Below are 25,172 nucleotides of genomic sequence, written 5' to 3'. Positions count from 1 at the left end.
ATAAATTTGGAATAAGTCAAAACCTTGGCAAAGGTAGTGGTTGAGAATAAAGAAAGATACAGCCTGAAAAGGTAACCGTGAACCATGATGCAAATGTTTGAACATTTTATTCCACTCCTGTTTTTTTGAATGGGGAAAATACCAGGAAAAGTAAGGATAAATTTTGTAAGCATAAACATATCATAAATCTATGCAGAAATCATACTGGCTTATAAATGAGCTTTTAAAAAATTTTCACATTTTGTTATGAATTATGACAAAAATGTATGACCCAGGTTTTCTCTAAAACAGGAGAAATAAAGTGCTCTTATATACTCCAATTAAAGACCAATTCTTTGCCCTTTCTCAAAAAGGCAAAAATACCTACTAAATATCTAAGTAGTGACTTCAAAGAAAGTCAAAAAATGATAAATAATGAAAATCATGCTTTAATGGTGTTATTAAATAATATTGTATTTTAATCAACAAAATGAAAAATTATTATATTTGTTTCAGAAATATGCAGTTTAGTTTTTAAATTAGTAAGCATTATAGACATAATGCATTACCTTTCATTTATACTATGGGAAAGATATTAAAAAGTAAGTACTATGCCATAATATACATAAACCTGCCCCAAATGGTATATTACGTTGAAAGTTTTCGAGTGACATCAACCAAATTTCTTTATGCACAACATTACGCTAATAAGCTACCCTTTCAACTTCAAAATTCCAAAGCTAATCAGTCATTTGTGGTCCAGGGCAAAATTGCTCATTTTCTTGCCCATTTATCAAGAACTACATACTTAGCTGAATATTGGCTTTGTGTGCACAGGACTCACATAGTCTCTGTAACATACGCATACATACGTAGGTAAAAGTCAGTGAAGGAAGAAATAGCTAAGCCCCTCAAGAAAAGCTCAAATAGAGATGAGGGCAGGCCCTGCAGAAGGGAGCCACTTGTTGAATATGAAAAGATATAACGGTATCAGATTTAGGATTTGAAAGCATATACCTTCCTGAAAGATGTTTGTTTGAAATGTTTTACCCTTCATTAAAAGCATATTATAAATACACTACAAAATAAAATTACAACTTCAAATGTATTATGATTATGGAATTCACTTTCACATTCTTCATACATTGTGTGCAAATCAAAAGAGTGATTCTGTATATGTCTCTAAAGACTTACTGAGAAGAATTAAATAGAACAAACATCAAAAGATAAAGGAATTGTTTAAGCCAATGACCAAGCTATTTATTTTTCTCTATTCTGAAACACAGGTGCTGTTTTTGAAAGATAAATTGCTTTTAGGCACTTGTTCAGACCTCATCATAAGGGCATGGTAACTAAATGTCATACCCCTCGAATTAATCAACTACAGACTCACTTAGGACCCTAAAAACAACTCTTCTATGTTTCTAGTATTTCTTTCTACACAAAGGAAAATCAACTTGTTAAATATAAGCATAACTGCCCCTAAATAATGTAATTGCCTCATCTGTACATTCACCTGTTTCTGTGATAGTAAGAATAATGGTTTGTCACTAGTGATTCACTATAGAAGGCTGACTTTTGAGGGTTTCATTTAATAGAATTTTTTATTTAGCAGGACTAAACACAAGTTTAACAACAATTAGTTTTATAACCTGGTCACTGTTTTTCTTTGTCTTCAACCACACAGATATTTTAAGATCAACTATCAGAAATAAATACAAACTGTTCATGGGAAGAAAAGAATAAATGAGTCATCTCACCTTACACATATTCCTTAAAAAGTTCCTCGATCAGGGTACACACAGGGCTGAAAAATTAATCTGACAGTGAAGAGAACCAATATGCTTATAGGGAAAATCACTGAATGAGAACAGAGAGATACGAGTATTAACAGTTGTATATAATGCACAAAAAAAGTGGTTAACTCTCAGAAATAATGCAATAGTGCTATAAAAGGTTAGAAAAGGAGGAAACAATAATAGCTCTGTCAGCATGAACCTTTCTTTCTTCATACTATGGGAATACCTTGATAAACCAAAAAGCAAGAAACATTTGGAAATCCAGCAATGTGAACTTGATTAAGCCATTCAATCTGTTTGGGTCATAATTTTCTTATGTATAAAAACAGGGAATAGAAATAGATAATCTTTTTTTTTTTTTTTTTTTTTTTGAGACAGTCTCGCACTGTCACCTGGGCTGGAGTGCAGTGGCGCCATCTCAGCTCACTGCAACCTCCGCCTCCAGGGTTCAAGCGATTCTCTCACCTCAGCCTCCCAAGTAGCTGGGATTACAGGTGACTACCACCACACCCAGCTAATTTTTTGTATTTTTAATAGAGACGGGATTTCACCATGTTGGCCAGGCTCGTCTCAAACTCCTGACCTCATGATTCGCCCGCCTCGGTCTCCCAAAGTGCTGGGATTACAAGCGTGAGCCACAACGACCGGCCAGAAATAGATCATCTTTAAAATCATTTTCCACTCTATGACTTGTATCTTCAAAGACTTGAGGAATTAAGCTTTCTTTCTTAACAACAATTATGTTTAATTTATATTTTTGTAGATTTAGGGGTACAAATACACTTGTGTTACATGGATATATTGCACAATGGTGAAGTCTGGGCTTTCAGTGCATCCATCACCTGAATAGTGCACATTGTACCCAATACATAGTATTACATCCCTCACTCCCGTCTCACCCTCCCAGCTTTGGACGTCTCCCGTGTTTATTATTCCACTCTGTGTGGCTGTACATACCCATTGTTTAGCTCCCACTTATAAATGAGAACATGTGCCTTTTTTCTGTTTCTGAGTCATTGCACTTATGACAATGGCCTCCAGCTCCATCCATGTTGCTCCAAAAGACATGATTTCATTCTTTTTAATGGCCAACTAGTATTGTGGTACTGTGTGCCTACACATACCACATTTTTAATCCAGTCATCTGTTGATGAACACAGGTTGATTTCATGACTTTGCTATTTTGAAGAGTGTACAAAAAACATACACGTGCAGGTGTCTTTTAATAAAATGATTTCTTTTCCTTTGGATAAAACACAACATGCAGTAGTGGGATTGCTGGATCAAAGTTTAGTTCTATTTTTAGTTCTTTGAAAACTCTCCATACTGTTTCCCACAGATGTTGTACTAATTTACATTCCCCAAAACAGTATATACGTGTTCCTTTGTCTCTGCATCCTTGCAGGTGTCAGTTGTTTTTTGACTTTTCAATAATAGGCATTCTGATCTGTGTAAGATGGTATCTTTTTGTGGGTTTAATTTGCATTCCTCTGATGATTAGAGATGCTGAACTTTTTTTTCATATTTCTTGGCCATATGTACTCTTTAAAATCATTTTCAACTCTATGACGTGTATCTTCAAAGACTTAAGGAGTAAAGGTTTCTTTCTTTACAAGAATATTATTTAGGAGAACACTTTTTTCAGACTTTCTTGAAATAATTTATTCACTGCTCCATTACTTCAAAATACTATTATACTACAGATATCTGATAGATTCATACTTAATAATTTGCACATAAATATAAATGACTTAACTTTTAGATCCCTAAGGTCACAGACCATGAACCATAAGTATCCAGTACTAAAAAGTCTCAATAAATTGGTACTGCATGAATGAAAGAATGAGAGTATAGGACAATGGGTGTTAATAGTTTTATGAATAAATGAATCATCTTTGTAAACTATCCACATTTTAATAATATGTATTTTTAATTATCAAGTATATAGGGACATTATACATGAAAAAATGTGTGTCTCATATCAGCTTGCTTAAGACCATTATTCTAAAATTGGTATTAAGAATCCTGAATGTTCATTAGAAATAAATGAAAAAGCGCACTTTCATTTCTTGCTCTATACAGCCAAATAAATTCTAGAGAGATCAAAAATTTTACTGGAAAATAAAACTTTAAAATACAATAATAAATTATTATAGTAAATATTCTGTATACTCTTTAGCTAAAGGTGCTGAAAGCCTCTTTTACAACTATGAAGAAGGTTGATACATTTGGGTGCTTAAAAATTGTAATAGCTATATGGAAAAATGTTACTATACACAATACTTCAAAAATAAAATGGGAAAATGAGCACACCCGACAGACAGGGTTATTTTTTCAAGACAAAGACACTCTTGTAAACCAAAAGGTGAAAACCCAACATACTAATAAAAAATTAAGCAAAGGCATAAATAGGTAAGTCATCAAAAAATGCTGGTCAATTAATTATAGTTCAACTTCATTATATCCAAAGAAATGTAACTGAAAATAGGAATAATTGTTCCTATTCCTATCAGGTTGATAAAGATGAAAAATATGACAACACTCAGAATTATTGAGGGTGTGAAAAAAATCATGCACAATTGGTAGAATTTTTTATGACACTGTACAGTATATTTGAATTTAAAACTAACTCTACCCTTTGACCCGAAATCTCATTACTAAATCTTTTCAAAGGAAATTGGATAGTAAATTACAAAAATATCCAATGCAGTGCATGATACCCATTTTGGTCAGATTACCAAAAAAAAAAAAAAAAAATCTATAGTTATACATATGCATAGGAATATCTAGTTGTGCACAATAAATATATTTGAATTAGTGAAATGAAACCATTTTATTTTATATTTGAATACATTTTAATTATAGAAATTTATAAACTATGTAAAAGCATAAATGATAAAATGACTTAACCTGTATTCCACAACTTAAAGATATTAACATTGTGAAGAATAGTAGTCCTCCAGTATTTTTCAAATGAAGTATGTATATGCGCACAGGTGTGAATATTTCCATAAACCCCAATTGCAATTAAATGTATATATAGTTCTGCATCACTTCTCAACATAACATATTGTAAACATTTTTTGTTATAAAATATTCCTTGAAAGCATTATTTTTGAGAGTTGGGTAACATCATATAGATTTAATGTCAATTATTTAACTATTCCTTTCTACTTGGACATTTTTCACAAGTATAAATGTATTTCAGTGAACAATATGTAATTATTTTGTGTACATTTCTGATTATTTAGGATTTTAAAATTATAATATATTAAATATTTTATTTCAAACTAAAATGTTTTGTATCACTTGGATTTTTTTTTAGGTTAGTGTTATTTTACAAAAAGAAAATGTTCTCAAAAGAAAAAAATGCCAAATTTTCAGTATTTTATGGGTTTTTATTTTTAGTCATAATATGATTAACATAGAAAGTAAAAAGTAATTATTTGAATTTTCTGTGTACAGCCATTACATCAAATAAACTTATAGGCCAGGCGTGGTGGCTTATGGCTGTAGTACTAACACTTTGGGAGGCTGAGGTTGGCAGATCACTTGAGCACAGGAGTTGGAGACCAGCCTGGCCAACATGGTGAAACCTCATCTCTACTAAAATACCAAAATTAGCTGGGAGTGGTGGCGTGTGCCCATAGTCCCAGTTACCTGGGAAGCTGAGGCAGGAGAATCACTTGAGCCTAGGAGGCTGAGGCTTCAGTGAGCCATGATTGTACCACTGCCCTCTAGCCCAGGTGACAGAGAAAGACCCTGTCTCAAAAAAAAAAAAAAAAAAAGAGAGAGAGAGAGATAGCAATAAATAGAATTCTGAGGACATTATCTAGATCATTCTAGATCATATGTACTACCTCAGACCCTGCATGAAAACGCTACCAAGAGAAAAAGACTTTCTAAAGAGAATGCAGAATATAATTTTCTTAAATTAAAAATACTAATGTGAACATCAATATGTAACAGTGTTTCAAATAAACTACTTAATTTCAAATAATGCTTATTATTGGCTAATAGCCTGAAAAAGTAAATAAACAGCACTGAAAAAATTTTTGAGTGACTACTAACAAGGCACTTTCAAAGTTACAAATGAAAATGGTAATCCTACCTTTTAGAGCTTGCAATCTAAATAACTATTAGTTATTTTGAAATGAACAGTTTTTGACATAAGATCACAGTAGTCCAATCTCCACATGATGCCAACTTTTTTTTTTTTTTTGAGATGGAGTCTCGCTCTGTCGCCCAGGCTGGAGTGCAGTGGTGTGACCTCAGCTCACTGCAACCTCCACCTCCCGGGTTAAAGCAATTCTCCTGCCTCAGCCTCCCAAGTAGCTGGGATTACAGGTGTGTACCACCACTTCTGGCTAATTTTCATACTTTTAATAGAGACGGGGTTTCACCATGTTGGCCAGGCTGGAATTGAACTCCTAACCTCAAATGATCCACCCGCCTCCGCCTCCCAAACTGCTGGAATTACAGGCGTGAGCCACCGCGCCCGGCCCCGATGCCAACATTTTTATCTCTGTTGCTAAAGATGGAGAGGACTGTCATGTAATGCAATGTGCACTGAATTTAGAAGACCAGAATTAATATTATAATTCTAAAATGGTCTGTGGGTCCTTGAGCAGTTTTTCTTACTTTTCTACCATTTTTTTTCAGTGTATAAGCTTACAGAATTATTATTATAAGGAAATGAGATATGATGTTTATGCAGAAATGTTTTCTCAATTGTAAAATTTTAAGCAAATGTAAAACATTTTAAAATATCTTAAAATAAGACATCTAAGTGTTTTCTGAATAATATTTTAAACTATGCTTAGAAAAATATTATTGTAAGTGAATTTCATTCTAATTTTCATTATTTCACATTAAACATAATGCTAATCCAAATATACAACTAAATCGATCACTCTACTTTCCAAGTAACTTTGGATGGATTGCACTTTATAAGGTTTTATATAAAGTAAATTGGCTCCTATTTACATGGTAGAAGGAGATTCTGTATCACCTTCTGTAAAAATCCATTAATAAGATTTCTGAATCTATGTGGTTTCTGATAATAAAAGCATCAAAAATATTCAAGAAGTTGACTATACACTTAGAAATCAGAGCAATTTAAAGAGACAACATAGTTGACCCTTCAACAACATGGGTTAAACTGCATGGGTACACTTATACACACTTTTTTTTAATAAATACATTGCAAAATGTTTTGCAGATATGCAACAATTGGAAAAAAATCTCACAGACGCACCATTTATTTAAATATTTATAAATATTTAAATATTTTAAAAATATTTCTAAATAGCCTAGAAATATTTTTAAAAATAAGAAAAAGGTATGTAACAAATGCATAAAATACATGTATATACTAGTCTATCATTTAGTACCATAAAATATACACAAATCTATTATAAAAAGTTGAAATTTCCTAACCTACACACACAAACCCTTACTGTATATGGTGCCATTGGCAGTCAGAGAAATGTAAACAAATGTAAAGGTGCAGTATTAAATCATAACTGCATAAATTAACTCTAGTACATATTATGTAATAATTTTGTAGCCCCTTCCTGTTGCTATTGCTGTAAGCTTAAGTGTTCCAAGTATCTGCTTAAAATGCTGTGGATGCTAATCAATGTGAACAGTTCATCTCTCCAGTAAATTGTGTATCCCAGTAAAAAGTGATCTCTTGCAGTTCTTGCATATTTTTCATTGTGTTTGAATAACACCATGGGACCCATATGAAGTGCCCCTAGGGATGCCCACCATTTCAGACAGATGAGTCCTCTTTTTTTTTGAGACGGAGTCTCACTCTGTCGTCCAGGCTGGTGTGCAGTGGCGCGATCTTGGCTCACTGCAAGCTCCGCCTCCTGGGTTCACGCCATTCTCCTGCCTCAGCCTCCCCAGTTGCTGGGACTATAGGTGCCTGCCACCACGCCTGGCTAATTTTTTGTACTTTTTTTAGTAGAGGCGGGGTTTCACCAAGTTAGCCAGGATGGTCTCCATCTCCCGACCTCGTGATTCGCCCGCCTCGGCCTCCCAAAGTGCTGGGATTACAGGCGTGAGCCACCGCGCCCGGCCCGATTCCTCTTACTAAATGAATGACATAAACTTAAAATATGGATAAATCAGTACAGTACTGTAAATGCATTTTCTCTTCCTTTGGTTTTTTAAATAACATTTTCTTTTATCTAGTTTGTTATAATAATACAGTATATCATACATATAGAAAATAGGCATTAATTGACGGTTGTGCTAGCAGTAAGGCTTCTGGTCAACAGTAGGCTATATTAGTAGTGAAATTTGGAGGGATTCAAAAGTTATATGTGGATTTTCAACTGCATTAGGATTGGTGCCCCTAACCCCTGTGTTGTTCAATGGTCAACTGTAAATGCTAAATGATACCTTACAATCTAAACATAATGTTCTTGTATTTCTTTAACAAATGATTACTTTGATAGGCACATATAATCTCACTTAATCCTTTTATCAATCCAAGAAAACAGATATACTTAGTTTAGAGGTGAAGAAATAAAAGTTTCATATTAAATGAATAATACTTAGAGCAAGAGACCATGAGTTGCCTATCCTCCTCTTCATTCTAAGAAGACCCTTTAATAGGGCTCTGTTTTATTCCAGAAATCCATTTGCCCAGCTAAGAGGCAACATTTTCTAGACTATCTATGCATGGCCAGGTCATTAAGTTATAGCAAAAAGAACAGCAGCAAATTATTAAATATAATATTCAGGAAACCTCATCTAAAGGATCACAGACAGCTGTCACATGCTCTCCTTTTCTTTCTCCCTTTCCTCCTGCTTCCTGTATCCAATCTGAGTGTGATGGCTAGAGCTTAAACCAGGATGAGATCTTGAGAGTCCTTTGTTAGGGATGGTGAAGCAAACAGATGAATGCTAATGAAATTATGAAACCACCTACTGGATGACGACTGCAACTTTTTCACATGTTCCTTACAATAAATTAATAAATAAGCTTCTATTTTTTACATCTAATTAGTGACTCTTTTGCCAACAGTCAAACGTGACCCATTATACTTATTACATACAAGGCCCTGCGTAAGTATAGTATTTTGCCTGGATTGTCTCATTTACTCCCTCCTGCAACGTTCTTTTCTAGTTGTGGAAACACAGAGTCAATGGGGGTAAAATAACAAGTTTAAGGTTGTATTTCTAAATAAATGGCAGAAACAAGGGTTGAGTCCTGATCCTTTTTTCTAAATTAAAGTGATCTTTTCTATAATGCCACCAAATTCCTCATTACATGAGGTCTATATATATAGACCTCAAGGGTCATCATTTATTTCATGTATATTATTTTATCCTACATATATTATCCCTAATGGAGCTTTCATATTTTCTCATCCTTTAGTCCTTCAGTTGATGATATGAATAGTATAGTTAAATCTTAGCTCTAAGATGATGGATCAAGTCCCAGTGATAATCTCTCTAATCTGTCAGAAAATGATCCAACTGCTATTTTTCATTGATTCGTTTTTTTTCCTTGAAAGCAGACTTGTGCGATAAAAAATTTTCCTCTTGTCAACAAATCCTCTTAGCATCACATAATCATCTTTTCATGAAAAAAGTAGCTAGGGAAACATTGCTAGCAATTTCAAAGTGCTTCAAGGCCTCAAATTACTAGAGAAGCTTGCGGCAATTCTGAACTAAAGGAAACTAGAAGTGTGGAGATGTTAGACTGTCAAATACATCTCTCCCTCAGATTTACAGTTATTTTTCTATGAGATGTCTACCCATCTGCTGAGATGTTATAATTATATATTCTTAAGGTGACAGCATAATACGCTCTTCCTAGTCAGTACATTCAGTTTACCTAAGGTTAGAAGCAGTAAAATAAAGTGTCAAAAATGCCATCTTCAAATATAAGATTGATAGCCTATTATGTTTTTATTATTTAAACATAAGCCAAATCATGTAATTAGCTCACTCAAAGTGTTTTGACCTATTTCCTAAAAATCTTTCATAATTTGGATTCAAAATAACTCAAGTTCATCAAAATGAGATTTATTTGAATATCTTTGTGAGTAAAATACATAAGTATTTATGTGCACCCAACTGAATATCACTTTCATAACCAGTTTCACAGTCCCATTTTGATCTCCTGAACCCTTGGTACCTACAAGATTTTCCTAGTTCAGTTTTGTTTAAGGGTTCTTTAATTGCTCTGATAAAAATATCAAACATCTTTCCTTGGGCCAGAGAGTCCTAAATATTCTCTGTTAATAGTATCCTTAGTAATATTTTTCACAATATTCTAGGCCAAAAGAAATCTGTATCAGTTCTGTTTATTAAATGAGTAGGTCTAAACAATTCCACAAGTATTAATGCCCTATTAACTTAGTAGCCAGTTGAAAAAAACAAAACAAAACAAAAAACACACATAAACTGAAAGTAGTTCATGTAATATCCAGTAGGTGTTGCTGTGTTTCCCATAAAAATTTTAAATATTTCACAGCACCCTTGTGCATTTACAACGGTACATCGGGTGACTCAGTGCCCATTTTGATATTTATGGTTGTAGGTGTTGCTATGTTTTATTTAATTCATCTGTAACCATCTCAAGGACAAGAAGTGGACTCATTCATCCTTATATTCCCAGAGCCTTTCAAAGTGTCAGGCACATAGTAGGTGTTAATTAATATTTTCCAAATGAAAGAGGATGGCCATGAATAAATGACCAAGGAGATTAACATTGATTTAAGTAAAACAGTTACCTGTGGATCGGGGTACTTTGTAATATAAAGTGTTGACACAGCACAGTGATAGAGAATATGGGCTCTATCGCTTTTTAGATACATGCTTGTGCTTCCCTCATACATAAGATGGGAAGTAATAATAGTGTCTACTGTATAGAACTGACAAGAAAATTAAATGAAAAATGCATGTAATTCACCTAGCATAGTGCATAGTATATAATAACTATTTGATAAATACTATTGTTATTATTATTTTGCTATTTTATGTCATAGATGACAACACACTGAAATCTGGGATTGGTGGGAAGAAATAAGAAAATAAACCCTAAAAATATTAAGAAGACAATCAGGGAAATAATTATTTTCAAAAAGAAAGCTGTGGTTACAAATAGATTAAGAAAGCACAGTTAGGACGCTTTGAAAACACATTCAAACAACAGGTTATTTGTGGCCAGACTCAGGAAGCTGAAGTGTTACTGAAATTTGCCATTTGCCAAAAATGAGACAAACTAAAATCCCTTCATTTCATGGCTTGAAATTGAAGACCAAAAGCAACTCTTATTTCTAATCACATTCCTAATTACAGAAACAGGCTAGCACCCCTGTTGTAAAGGGGCTGCCAGTATTTCCATTATCAGTTCCCATTTTCAGGGCTTATTACTAAAGCACACACTCTAGGGAGATTGTTGGCATAGAGGATCTCAGCATGGAAGAGAACATGTTTTACAAAACTTGGCATCAACCTTCCAACTGTAAATATAAAGAGATAGAAAGGCAACAATGAATAGTCAAGAAAACCCATGGTGCTGGGATTGAAAAGGTTGTTCAAGCTAATTTCAAATGTAATGTATAAATGAAAACCCTGCTCAGACCATTTAAAGGGAAAATAGATTTTTAAATTTACACAATTTCACTAAACATCTGTAACAAGAGAGTAGAAGCAAAGTGATCTACCCATCTGTCTCCTATTAGTAAAAACTGACATAAATCTAATTTCAGTATCTAGGAGGATTTACTTCTGCTTTAACCTTGACCAATGTAAAAAGGTAACTTGTTGATGTTAATTTGAACCATCTCTGCATTAATTTTTTAAAGAATTAGACTCAGACACATTATTTATTTGTAAACTTTCTGTCACAACCATTGAAAGGTTCATGTACCTATTTTAGCCTCAAATATCCTTTGCTTTGAATGTGGTTTTACTAAAAATTGTGGTTAGCTTCTAAAACTGTTGTTAATAGAGGAAGTTGTTACAATTACTTAAGATAATGTATACTTTTCTTTAAACAGTTATAACCAAAATAACACTTATAAAATTAAGTCTTAAAGTAGCTGGGAGAAGAAAAGATACTATAAAAAAATTACATTGAGCCATTCAACTTATATATAAGTGCTTTTGAACTTATATTTGGTTGTGATCGCCAAATAAAGTAGAAGTTATAAAGAAAACTTTAGTTTTGTCTCAGAAAAAGATTTCACTCTTCCTCAGCCTGTAACACTGCAGAAATGGTCACATGATTCTTAGTAACTTTCAGTAGATTAATCCAAGGTTGAGTTCTGAGCTTGTTAGTTTCTGTACTCTAGGGCAGGAAATAACTGCTTTAAGCCAAAAGCCTTTTCTTCTGCTGTGTTATAGTAAACAAAATCTTACCTATGTTTAGAATACTCAATTAAGCAGAGTGAATGAAAAAAAATTAAGGCCCCACTGTATAGAGATAATAGAGACTTGACAGAATTTAATACTTTGATTCTTTACTTGTATCTTTTTGCCACAATACAGCATCACTGAATTTATGAGAATCTTTATTCAACCTTCTCTCTAGGAAATATAGCAACTTACTAAAAGTGGACAAGCAATTTATGGAACAAATTTTAAAATAGGTAATGAAAGCACAGAATTATGGAGCAGTACTGACCTCTGGTTATCATTTTGTATATACCCTTCAAGAAATGGCTATATCTAAACCATCTATGTTGAGTTACTATCTGTTACATTCTTAAAAGGCATCCAAGAAGAAAAATTTAAAACCTCTTTAGATAGTCAGCTCTGGTTTTAATGCTGTCAAGAATTTCTTCTTCATATCTAAAAGAATTTCTTCCTTCTACAATTTAAGATGCTGTCCTCTTCTTTTAACCTCAGTGAAGATGGAGAATAACTAGTTACGATCCTTTTTAGAGGATAAGTTCACATACCATGTATTCCCATCTTAGAGACTATATAACATAAAGCTAGATCACATTTTAAAGTATATAAACATAATTACACAGAAATATTTTTAAATTCCATTAAAAGGAAAAAAATAAGTCCATTCCCCACCCAGTTTATAAATTATCCTTGGTAAATCATCTCTAAATCTTGCACCTGCTAAATCAGCACCATTTTATGCAGCACCACAAATGCCTTTTTCATTTAACTCTTCAGTGAACAACAAGCTTCATTATTATCTATCATAGAAGAAAAATGACTCTGTAGACATAGGTCTAATTAAGAATGTCAAGATGATCTCTTTTGGACTCTGATCAATTCCTTTATTTACATACAGTTTGTTTTTATTACTTCCCAAAATTGAATTCACAGGTCAAATCAATCCCATGCAATATAAAAATTCTTTACAGTATAAAGCATATTTTACTACCATATACTTTCTTATATTAAATTGTACAATTTGTCTGTAAATGTATCATTTTTTCTTATTCCCGATAAAATCTTAATTAAAATGGGATTTGTAACGAGATCGCTATGACTAAATTTATGATATATTTTCTTCTTTAGTGTTCTTTTAAAGGACACAAGTAGCACAGAGTTTGGCAACTAACATACATAATTTATTTTTTTAAATGTTAAGTGAATTATTTCTGTAAGTATACAAAAATATTCTGAGTTAGAGAAGAAAATTTGAGCTGCATTTTGTCAATCAAATTTACCTGTTCGACAAGCTAAACTAGTTGACTAACAGCCTTTTGCATTAGATTTAGTACCTTAAAGCAGTAGGTATGTTTCATTGATCTTTGTAGTCCTGTGTCGCAGCAGGGTATTTAATACCCATACAAAGTTAACTAAGTGAATTAAAAATTCCAAATCATATTATTTTAGTCACTTCCTTAACCTTGGTATTAAGACCAACTATGCTTACTATTTTCCATACAATTAAAATTTAATGACTATTAAAACAATACAACAGGTATATATAAGTATACATAATTCAACTTATAAAAATGTACTGAAGTTTTAACTTTCTATACAAGTAATCAAGAATATCAAGATGCCAAGAATAGAAACCAGATATATTTCTATTATAAAGAACATCTAACTGTTATATTACATTCAAATATCTGGAATTCGCTTTTTCTATCATAGACGCAGCTTGCCCTTACTGCATCAGCTTTGTTAGTGTAAGCTATACTAGTATCAAGTTTTTTTAGCTGTTCCCAAATAGACATACAGTAGATAAGAAAACTCATGTGATTCTGGCATCAGAATTAATATTCAACCAGTGTGTATTCAAGAAATTAACAAGAGTAGTACACAGCTTCCTACATTATTCTATGAGGGAATATACATACATTTCTTAGTACTAGAAATTGCAACTGCCAGCTTAATTCAAAGTGGTTCTGAGTGAATGTTCCCAAAATACCAGTGAAAAATCTAACTAGATGCATAAACAGTTGGTCATCATTCAGAGCCTGTATCAAAAAAGTACCTTCCTATTCCTAATTAAATAACAACCTAAAATTACAATAAGGTATAATGTTTCAAAGGTCTTCAGTGTGCTCCCAACTTTACTTCTAGTACCTTCTATTTATGTATATCTGTCTCTTTCTTAAGTGTAATCTAAAGTATTTGGATAAATGCCATAATAAAAAGCAGTGTTAATTATCATTTTATATTTCCTATCTGATCTATTATGCCTTTAACAAAACATATTCTTCCATAGATTTACAACATCAACGATTGTGTTTAAGACCCTGTGACCACTCTAAAAATACTCTAAGACTGATAATCTGGGTACAGGGGGGCAAATTAGGTACTCTTTCAGTAGAAAACTAGTCCCCTTATATTCACAGGGAATTTATGTTGCTAAACAATGGATTTAAGTGCAAATAAGTTGTTCAGATTCACTTCTGTGCTTTGGAGTTAACCTTCTACAGAACATTTTCAATGTACTGTATAAGAATTTGATTTCATATATTCTAGATCCCCTTTATAAGGTATAGTGCTACAACCTGAATTAATAAAATAAAAACTATGGATTTGTTTACTTAGTTACTAAGTAAACTTTAAGTGCCTCCTACATATTATGTATTTCTCTCACTTTAAAATTTATAGTTAAACTCCTAGTACTGATCCCAGAGTTAACAGGAAGGGAGAATGGGAGAGAGAGAGCAAGAGAAAGAGAGAGGCAGCAGGAAGAAGAGAAAAGAGGGAGAGCGAGAGAAAAAGATCATATACCAAGGTCACTTTCAGGTGACATAAACTTTGCTAAAATAATCAATGATATAGATCCCTAAGAAAAGCAAACCAGATTCTCCTGCAACTTTTTCCTCAGGCTTATTAGAAGAAGGTTTAAAAAAATCTTCCTTAATACACCAAGCAATACGCTTCTAAATCTTCCCAATGATAGTGCTACTGCTTTGTGACTGTTTCCTGCATTCCCTCACTCTTCTAATCCATTTTGGTTAACAGGAGGAATACAGGAAGAAAAACCACCTCTATCAATTGCTGACACAACTAACATTTCAAAGTGAACCATCAGCAGAAAAGCTTGGGGCAGAGAGATTTGTGGAACACTGTCTAAACCATCACTAGAAGACGGCTCTCTAACCTGAAAGAAGGATAGATCAGATCCAGTTCCCAGTCTTTCTTAAAAGTAAGGATAAACATGTCAATCTTTAAAGTAATCTAATAGCTACTTCCACATTTAAAATGCAGCTGGGCCTGTGCAAGCCTTTCTGAGTCCACTTTCTAATTCATCAAAACTTTCCTTCTTACCACAATAATAAAGATAATTTTCCTTGCCCTACGGAAACCTCACCTAGAAAATGGCCTACAGCAGAAAAACAGTCACCTATGTGAGGTAAATGCACTGTTACAAAGCACTAAATTATTTCAAAATTACTGCTTTTAGGTTTCTAATTGTTGGCTACGTAATTTGTGGAGTTAACGAACTTCATACTGGAGAAAAGTTCATTATAGTATAAAATTTCCCCATCTCAGTTGAATAAAATTCTTCCCCATCTTCAGGAGATTAATTCAGATTTTAGACACTCTAGGAAAAAGACAATACACTAAGAATTTCTAAAAAAACAACAACAAAAAGCTGAAGCAAGGGGGCAAAATGGAAGGCTTCACCTATCATCACCCTCACAAGAACACCAATTTAACAAATATCTACAGAAAAAATTTTTTAAAAATACCTTCATAAGAGCCAAAAATCAGATGAGCGCTCAAAGTACCTGGTTTTAAATTCATATCACTAAAAGAGGTACTTAGGAGGTAGGACAAACAGTCCTGAATCATCAGTGCCACCTCTCCCCCGTCCCTTGACAGTGGCAGTGTGGTGGAGAGAAAATCTGAGTGCATGGGAAAGGGAGAGCACAAAAATGGTGAGACACTGAGTTGGACTCAGTGCAGCCCTGTTTTAGAAGAAAGCAAAACTAGACCGAACTCAACTGATGCTCACCCATGGAAGAAGCATTTGAACCAGCCCTACCCAGGTGGGAATCACCCATCCCAGTGGTTGGAACTTCAGTTCTTGCAAGCCTCGCCACCACAAGACAAAGTGCCCTGGAGTTCTAAATAAACTTGAAAGGTAGTCAAGGCTACAAGGATACAAAAACTGCAACTCCTAGGAGAGTACTAATGCACAGCTGGGCTCAGAGCCAGTAAACAGGGGGAGGGGAACATTTCAACTATACTAGCTGGGGCAGCTATGGGAATGCTGGTGCTAACCCTCCCCAAACCCAAGGCTGAACTGCTCACAACTCTAAAAAAGGCCCTTTCCTTCTGTTTGAGGAGAGGAAAGCGAAAGTGAAGAGGACTTTGTCTCCTATTTTAGATACTAGCTCTGCTATAGCAGGATAGGACATCAGTCAGAGTCCTGAGACCCCCTTTCTAGGAATAAACTCCCACATGACATTTCTAGATACACCCTGAGACAAAAGGGATCCTGCTGCCTTAAAGAGAAGAACACAGTCCCAGCAAGATTCATCACTTGCTAACTAAAGAACCCTTGAGCCCTGAATAACCAGCAGCAATACCCAGGTAGTATGATGTGGGTCTTGGGTAAGTAAATGAGACTTTGCCTTGTACCTTAAGTACCAGTTTGCAACAGAAGGGTAGACTACCAAATGGACTCTTGGGCCCTGATTCCAGGCCTTGTCTCTTAGATGGCATTTGGGAACCTGCCCTGGACCAGAAAGGAGCCTACTGCCCTGAAGGTAAGTCTCAGGCAAGGTAGCACTCACTACAAGCTGACTGAAGAGCCCCAGGGACTTCAGGGAACATCAGCAGTAGCCTGGCAGTTGTCCCCATTGTCCTATGGTGCCAGTGGTCATGGGGTGAGGCTTCTCTTTCTTTAGAAAGAAGAGGAAAGAGTGGAAAGGATTGCATCTTGTACTCTGAGTGCCAGCTCAGCCACACTACGATAGCACACTAAGTAGATAGACTTCTAAGGTTTTTTTACTCTAGTCCCTGACTCCTGGACAGCATCTGTGAACCCAGCTGGGGCCTGCAGGAACTCACTGTGCTGAAGGGATGACACAGGCCTGGCTGGCTTGTCAATCTGCTAACTGTACAGCCCCAGGGCCTTGAGAAAACAGAGATGACTTTCAGCAGGCCTTGGGCAAGACCCAGTACCATGCTGGCTTCAGGTCTGACCCAGCACAGTCCTGGTGATGGTGGCCACATGGGAGCTTTTGTCCCTCCACTCCCAGCTCCAGGCAGCTCAGAACAGAGAGAAAAGCTCCATTTGATGGGGAGAAACTAATGGAAGAAAATAGGAGTCTCTGCCTGGCAATCCAAAGAATTCTTCTGGATCTTGTCCAAGACCATCAAGGTATATCTGTATAAGTCTGCAAGAACCACAGAAGTACTGGGCTTGAGGTGCCCCCTAATGCAGATACAGCTTAGGTCGTAATACCCATGTCCTTTCAACTGTATGGAAAGCTCTCCCAAGAAGGATGGGAACAAACAAGCTCAGACTATGAAGACTACAATAAATATCTAACTCTTCAATGCCCAGAAACAGATGAACATTTAAAAGTATCATGATCATCCAGGAAAACATGACTTACCAAATAAACTACATAAGGTACCAGGGATCAAGTTAGGAGAAACAGAGGTAAGTGACCTTTCAGATAGATAATTCAAAATTGCTGTTTTGAAGAAACTCAAAGAATTTCAAGATTTCAGAGAGAAGGAATTCATAATTCTGTCACACAAATTAAACAAAAAGAATGAAATAATTAAAAAGAATCAAGTAGAAATTCTGGAGCTAAAAATGCAATTCAAATATGGAAGAATGCATCACAGTCTTTTAATAACAGAATTGATCAAGCAGAAGAAATAATTAGTGAGCTTGAAGGTAGGCTATTTGGAAATACACAGAGAAGACAAAAGAAAAAAGCATTAAAAAGAATGAATCATGCATACAGGATCTAGAAAATAGTCTTCAAAAGGTAAATCTAAGAGTTATCGGCCTTAAAGAGCAAATAGAGAAAGAGATGGAGTAGAACGTTTATTCAAAGGGATAATAACAGATAATTTCCCAAACCTAGAGAAATATATCATTATTCAAGTACAAGAAGGTTACGGGACACAAGCAGATTTAACCCAAAGAACAATACCTCAAGACATTTAATAATAAAATTCCCAAAGGTCAAGGATAAAGGATCCTAAAAGCAGCAAGAGGAGAAAAACAGTAACATACAGTGGAGCTCTATTACACCTGGCAGCAGACTTTCCAGTGGAAACTTTACAGGCCAGGAGAGAGCAGCAATACATACTTAAAGTGCTAAAGGAAATAAAACTCTTAATGTGGAATAGTATATCCAGTGAAAATATCTTTCAAACATGAACAAGAAATAAAGATTTTCTCAGACAAAGAAAAGCTGAGGGATTTTGTCAACACAAGATCTGTCCTACAAAAAAATGCTAAAGGGAGCACGTCAAGAAAAAAAAAAAAAGGACATTAATCAGCAATAAGAAATCATCTGCTCAGGTGCAGTGGCTCACACCTGTAATCCCAGCACTTTGGGAGGCAGAAGCAGGTGGAACACAAGGTCAGGAGTTTGAGACCAGCCTGGCTAATATGGTGAAACCCCGTCTCTACTAAAAAAAAAAATACAAAAATTAGCCAGGCGTGGCGGCATGCACCTGTAATCCCAGCTAGTCAGGAGGCTAAGGCAAGAGAATAGCTTGAACCGGGAGGCAGAGGTTGCAGCGAGCCGAGATCACACCACTGCTCTCCAGCCTGGGTGATGGAGCAAGACTCCGTCTCAAAAAAGAAAAAAGAAAACAAAAAAGAAATAATCGAAGCTACAAAACTCATGGGCAATAGTAAGTGCACAGAAAACCAGATTATTGTAACACTGTATCCGTGGTATGTACACTATTCCTACCGTAATTAGAAAGACTAAAAAAGAACAAATCAAAAAATGGACAACTTTTAAAGACATAGACTGTACAATAAGATATAAACAGAAAGAACAAAAGTTAAAGAGCAGAGGGATAAAGTTAAGTTGTAGAGTGTGTATTAGTTTTACTTTTTTTTATTTATTTTTATTTTATTATTATTATACTTTAAGTTTTAGGGTACATGTGCACAATGTGCAGGTTAGTTACATATGTATACATGTGCCATACTGGTGTGCTGCACCCATTAACTCATCATTTACCATTAGGTGTATCTCCTAATGCTATCCCTCCCCCCTCCCCCCACCTCACAACAGTCCCCAGAGTATGATGTTCCCCTTCCCGTGTCCATGTGTTCTCACTGTTCATTTCCCACCTATGAGTGACAACATGCAGTGTTTGATTTTTTGTCCTTGTGATAGTTTACTGAGAATGATGATTTCCAATTTCATCCATGTCCCTACAAAGGACATGAACTCATCCTTTTTTATGGCTGCATAGTATTCCATGGTGTATATGTGCCACATTTTCTTAATCCAGTCTATCACTGTTGGACATTTGGGTTGCTGCCAAGTCTTTGCTATTGTGAACAGTGCCTCAATAAACATATGTGTGCATGTGTCTTTATAGCAGCATGATTTATAGTCCTTTGGGTATATACCCAGTAATGGGATGGCTGGGTCAAATGGTATTTCTAGTTCTACATCCCTGAGAAATCGCCACACTGATTGCACAATGGTTGAACTAGTTTACGGTCCCAACAACAGTGTAAAAGTGTTCCTATTTCTCCACATCCTCTCCAGCACCTGTTGTTTCCTGACTTTTTAATGATTGCCATTCTAACTGGTGTGAGATGGTATCTCATTGTGGTTTTGATTTGCATTTCTCTGATGGCCAGTGATGGTGAGCATTTTTTCACGTGTTTTTTGGCTGCATAAATGTCTTCTTTTCAGAACAGTCTTTTCATGTCTTTCGCCCACTTTTTGATGGGGTTGTTTGTTTTTTTCTTGTAAATTTGTTGGAGTTCATTGTAGATTCTGGATATTAGCCCTTTGTCAGATGAGTAGGTTGCGAAAATTTTCTCCCATTTTGTAGGTTGCCTGTTCACTCTGATGGTAGTTTCTTTTGCTGTGCAGAAGCTCTTTAGTTTAATTAGATCCCATTTGTCAATTTTGTCTTTTGTTGCTATTGCTTTTGGTGTTTGAGACATGAAGTCCTTGCCCATGCCTATGTCCTGAATGGTAATGCCTAGGTTTTCTTCTAGGGTTTTTATGGTTTTTAGGTCTAACGTTTAAGTCTTTAATCCATCTTGAATTAATTTTTGTATAAAGTGTAAGGAAGGGATCCAGTTACAGCTTTCTACATATGGCTAGCCAGTTTTCCCAGCACCATTTATTAAATAGGGAATCCTTTCCCCATTGCTTGTTTTTCTCAGGTTTGTCAAAGATCAGATAGTTGTAGATATACGGCATTATTTCTGAGGGCTCTGTTCTGTTCCATTGATCTATATCTCTCTTTTGGTACCAGTACCATGCTGTTTTGGTTACTGTAGCCTTGTAGTATAGTTTGAAGTCAGGTAGCATGATGCCTCCAGCTTTGTTCTTTTGGCTTAGGATTGACTTGGCGATGCGGGCTCTTTTTTGGTTCCATATGAACTTAAAGTAGTTTTTTCCAATTCTGTGAAGAAAGTCATTGGTAGCTTAATGGGGATGACATTGAATCTATAAATTACCTTGGGCAGTATGGCCATTTTCACGATATTGATTCTTCCTACCCATGAGAATGGAATGTTCCTCCATTTCTTTGTATACTCTTTTATTTCATTGAGGAGTGGTTTGTACTTCTCCTTGAAGAGGTCCTTCATGTCCCTTGTAAGTTGCATTCCTAGGTATTTTATTCTCCTTGAAGCAATTGTGAATGGGAGTTCACTCACGATTTGGCTCTCTGTTTGTCTGTTATTGGTGTATAAGAATGCTTGTGATTTTTGTACATTGATTTTGTATCCTGAGATTTTGCTGAAGTTGCTTATCAGCTTAAGGAGATTTTGGGCTGAGACAATGGGGTTTTCTAGATATACAATCATGTTGTCTGCAAACAGGGACAATTTGACTTCCTCTTTTCCTAATTGGATACGCTTTATTTCCTTCTCCTGCGTAATTGCCCTGGCCAGAACTTCCAACACTATGTTGAATAGGAGTGGTGAGAGAGGGCATCCCTGTCTTGTGCCAGTTTTCAAAGGGAATGCTTCCAGTTTTTGCCCATTCAATATGATATTGGCTGTGGGGTTGTCATAGATAGCTCTTATTATTTTGACATACATCCCATCAATACCTAATTTATTGAGAGTTTTTAGCATGAAGTGTTGTTGAATTTTGTCAAAGGCCTTTTCTGCATCTATTGAGAAAATCATGTGGTTTTTGTCTTTGGTTCTGTTTATATGCTGGATTACATTTATTGATTTGCGTATATTGAACCAGCCTTGCATCCCAGGGATGAAGCCCACTTGATCATGGTGGATAAGCTTTTTGATGTGCTGCTGGATTTGGTTTGCCAGTATTTTATTGAGGATTTTTGCATCAATGTTCATCAAGGATATTGGTCTAGAATTCTGGTTTTTGGTTGTGTCTCTGCCTGGCTTTGGTATCAGGATGATGCTGGCCTCATAAAATGAGTTAGGGAGGATTCCCTCTTTTTCTATTGATTGGAATAGTTTCAGAAGGAATGGTACCACTTCCTCCTTGTACCTCTGGTAGAATTCGGCTGTGAATCCATCTGGTCCTGGACTCTTTTTGGTTAGTAAGCTATTGATTATTGCCACAATTTCAGAGCCTGTTATTGGTCTATTCAGGGATTCAACTTCTTCCTGGTTTAGTCTTGGGAGGGTGTATGTGTCAAGGAATTTATCCATTTCTTCTAGATTTTCTAGTTTATTTGCGTAGAGGTGTTTGTAGTATTCTCTGATGGTAGTTTGTATTTCTGTGGGATCGGTGGTGATATCCCCTTTATCATTTTTTATTGTGTCTATTTGATTCTTCTCTCTTTTTTTATTAGTCTTGCTAGCGGTCTATCAATTTTGTTGATCCTTTCAAAAAACCAGCTCCTGGATTCATTAATTTTTTGAAGGGTTTTTTGTGTCTCTATTTCCTTCAGTTCTGCTCTGATTTTAGTTATTTCTTACCTTCTGCTAGCTTCTGAATGCTTTTGCTCTTGCTTTTCTAGTTCTTTTAATTGTGATGTTAGGGTGTCAATTTTGTATCTTTCCTGCTTTCTCTTGTGGGCATTTAGTGCTATAAATTTCCCTCTACACACTGCTTTGAATGTGTCCCAGAGATTCTGGTATGTTGTGTCTTTGTTCTCGTTGGTTTCAAAGAACATCTTTATTTCTGCCTTCATTTCGTTATGTACCCAGTAGTCATTCAGAAGCAGGTTGTTCAGTTTCCATGTAGTTGAGCAGTTTTGAGTGAGTTTCTTAATCCTCAGTTCTAGTTTGATTGCACTGTGGTCTGAGAGACAGTTTGTTATAATTTCTGTTCTTTTACATTTGCTGAGGAGAGCTTTACTTCCAAGTATGTGGTCAATTTTGGAATAGGTGTGGTGTGGTGCTGAAAAAAATGTATATTCTGTTGATTTGGGGTGGAGAGTTCTGCAGATGTCTATTAGGTCCACTTGGTGAAGAGCTGAGTTCACTTCCTGGGTATCCTTGTTAACTTTCTGTCTCGTTGATCTGTCTAATGTTGACAGGGGGGTGTTAAAGTCTCCCATTATTAATGTGTGGGAGTCTAAGTGTCTTTGTAGGTCACTCAGGACTTCCTTATGAATCTGGGTGCTCCTGTATTGGGTGCATATATATTTAGGATAGTTAGCTCTTCTTGTTGAATTGATCCCTTTACCATTATGTAATGGCCTTCTTTGTCTCTTTTGATCTTTGTTGGTTTAAAGTCTGTTTTATCAGAGACTAGGATTGCAACCCCTGCCTTTTTTTGTTTTCCATTTGCTTGGTAGATCTTCCTCCATCCTTTTATTTTGAGCCTATGTGTGTCTCTGCACGTGAGATGGGTTTCCTGAATACAGCACACTGATGGGTCTTGACTCTTTATCCAAATTGCCAGTCTGTGTCTTTTAATTGGAGCATTTAGTCCATTTACATTTAAAGTTAATATTGTTATGTGTGAATTTGATCCTGTCATTATGATGTTAGCTGGTTGATTTGCTTGTTAGTTGATGCAGTTTCTTCCTAGTCTCGATGGTCTTTACATTTTGGCATGATTTTGCAGCGGCTGGTACCAGTTGTTCCTTTCCATGTTTAGTACTTACTTCAGGAGCTCTTTTAGGGCAGGCCTGGTGGTGACAAAATCTCTCAGCATTTGCTTGTCTGTAAAGGATTTTATTTCTCCTTCACTTATGAAGCTTAGTTTGGCTGGATATGAAATTCTGGATTGAAAATTCTTTTCTTTAAGAATGTTGAGTATTGGCCCCCACTCTCTTCTGGCTTGTAGAGTTTCTGCCGAGAGATCCGCTGTTAGTCTGATGGGCTTCCCTTTGTGGGTAACCCGACCTTTCTGGCTGCCCTTAACATTTTTTCCTTCATTTCAACTTTGGTGAATCTGACGATTATGTGTCTTGGAGTTGCTCTTCTCGAGGAGTATCTTTGTGGTGTTCTCTGTATTTCCTGAATCTGAATGTTGGCCTGCCTTGCTAGATTGGGGAAGTTCTCCTGGATAATATCCTGCAGAGGGTTTTCCAACTTGGTTCCATTCTCCCCATCACTTTCAGGTACACCAATCAGACGTAGATTTGGTCTTTTCACATAGTCCCATATTTCTTGGAGGCTTTGTTCATTTCTTTTTATTCTTTTTTCTCTAAACTTCCCTTCTTGCTTCATTTCATTCATTTCATCTTCCATTGCTGATACCCTTTCTTCCAGTTGATCACATCGACTCCTGAGGCTTCTGAATTCTTCAAGTAGTTCTCAAGCCTTGGCTTTCAGCTCCATCACCTCCTTTAAGCACTTCTCTATATTGGTTATTCTAGTTATACATTCGTCTAAATTTTTTTCAAAGTTTTTAACTTCTTTGCCTTTGGTTTGAATTTGCTCCTGTAGCTCAGAGTAGTTTGATCGTCTGAAGCCTTCTTCTCTCAACTCGTCAAAGTCATTCTCCGTCCAGCTTTGTTCCATTGCTGGTGAGGAACTGCGTTCCTTTGCAGGAGGAGAGGCGCTCTGCTTTTTAAAGTTTCCAGTTTTTCTGCTCTGTTTTTTCCCCATCTTTGTGGTTTTATCTACTTTCGGTCTTTGATGATAGTGATGTACAGATGGGTTTTTGGTGTGGATGTCCTTTCTGTTTGTTAGTTTTCCTTCTAACAGAGAGGACCCTCAGCTGCAGGTCTGTTGGAGTTTGCTAGAGGTCCACTCCAGACCCTGTTTGCCTGGGTATCAGCAGCGGTGGCTGCAGAACAGCAGATTTTCATGAACCGCAAATGCTGCTGTCTGATCGTTCCTCTGGAAGTTTTGTCTCAGAGGAGTATCCGGCCATGTGAGGTGTCAGTCTGCCCCTACTGGGGGGTGCCTCCCAGTTAGGCTGCTCGGGGATCAGGGGTCAGGGACCCACTTGAGGAGGCAGTCTGCCCGTTCTCAGATCTCCAGCTGCATGCTGGGAGAACCATTGCTCTCTTCAAAGCTGTCAAACAGGGACATTTAAGTCTGCAGAGGTTACTGCTGTCCTTTTTTTTTTGTCTGTGCCCTGCCCCCAGAGGTGGAGCCTACAGAGGCAGGCAGGCCTCCTTGAGCTGTGGTGGGCTCCACCCAGTTCGAGCTTCCTGGCTGCTGTGTTTACCTAAGCAAGCCTGGGCAATGGTGGGCGCCCCTCCCCCAGCCTCACTGCCACCTTGCAGTTTGATCTCAGACTGCTGTGCTAGCAATCAGAGACTCCGTGGGCGTAGGACCCTCCGAGCCAGGTGCAGGATATAATCTCCTGGTGCACCGTTTTTTAAGCCCATCGGAAAAGTGCAGTATTCGGGTGGGAGTGA

The 25,172-nt window shown here is 36.2% G+C and overlaps 1 protein-coding gene across 11 annotated transcripts in view, besides 1 other annotated feature; it reads right to left on the bottom strand.

The window, feature by feature from the left end:
* NAALADL2 (N-acetylated alpha-linked acidic dipeptidase like 2) overlaps positions 1-25,172 on the bottom strand; it is a 1,369,567-nt gene that overhangs the window by 1,179,925 nt on the left and 164,470 nt on the right. The window lies entirely within an intron of this gene.
* Positions 24,663-25,163: an enhancer, noted in NCBI's record as "H3K4me1 hESC enhancer chr3:174323251-174323751 (GRCh37/hg19 assembly coordinates)". NCBI's record gives its function as "activates a minimal SCP1, AML or CMV promoter by ChIP-STARR-seq in naive H9 embryonic stem cells {active_cell/tissue: H9 hESC(naive)}" and the evidence as "EXISTENCE:reporter gene assay evidence [ECO:0000049][PMID:30033119]".

The sequence above is a fragment of the Homo sapiens genome, chromosome 3, assembly GCF_000001405.40.
Source record: "Homo sapiens chromosome 3, GRCh38.p14 Primary Assembly".
NCBI lineage: Eukaryota > Metazoa > Chordata > Mammalia > Primates > Hominidae > Homo > Homo sapiens.
This window is presented reverse-complemented; position numbering and strand designations above follow the sequence as displayed.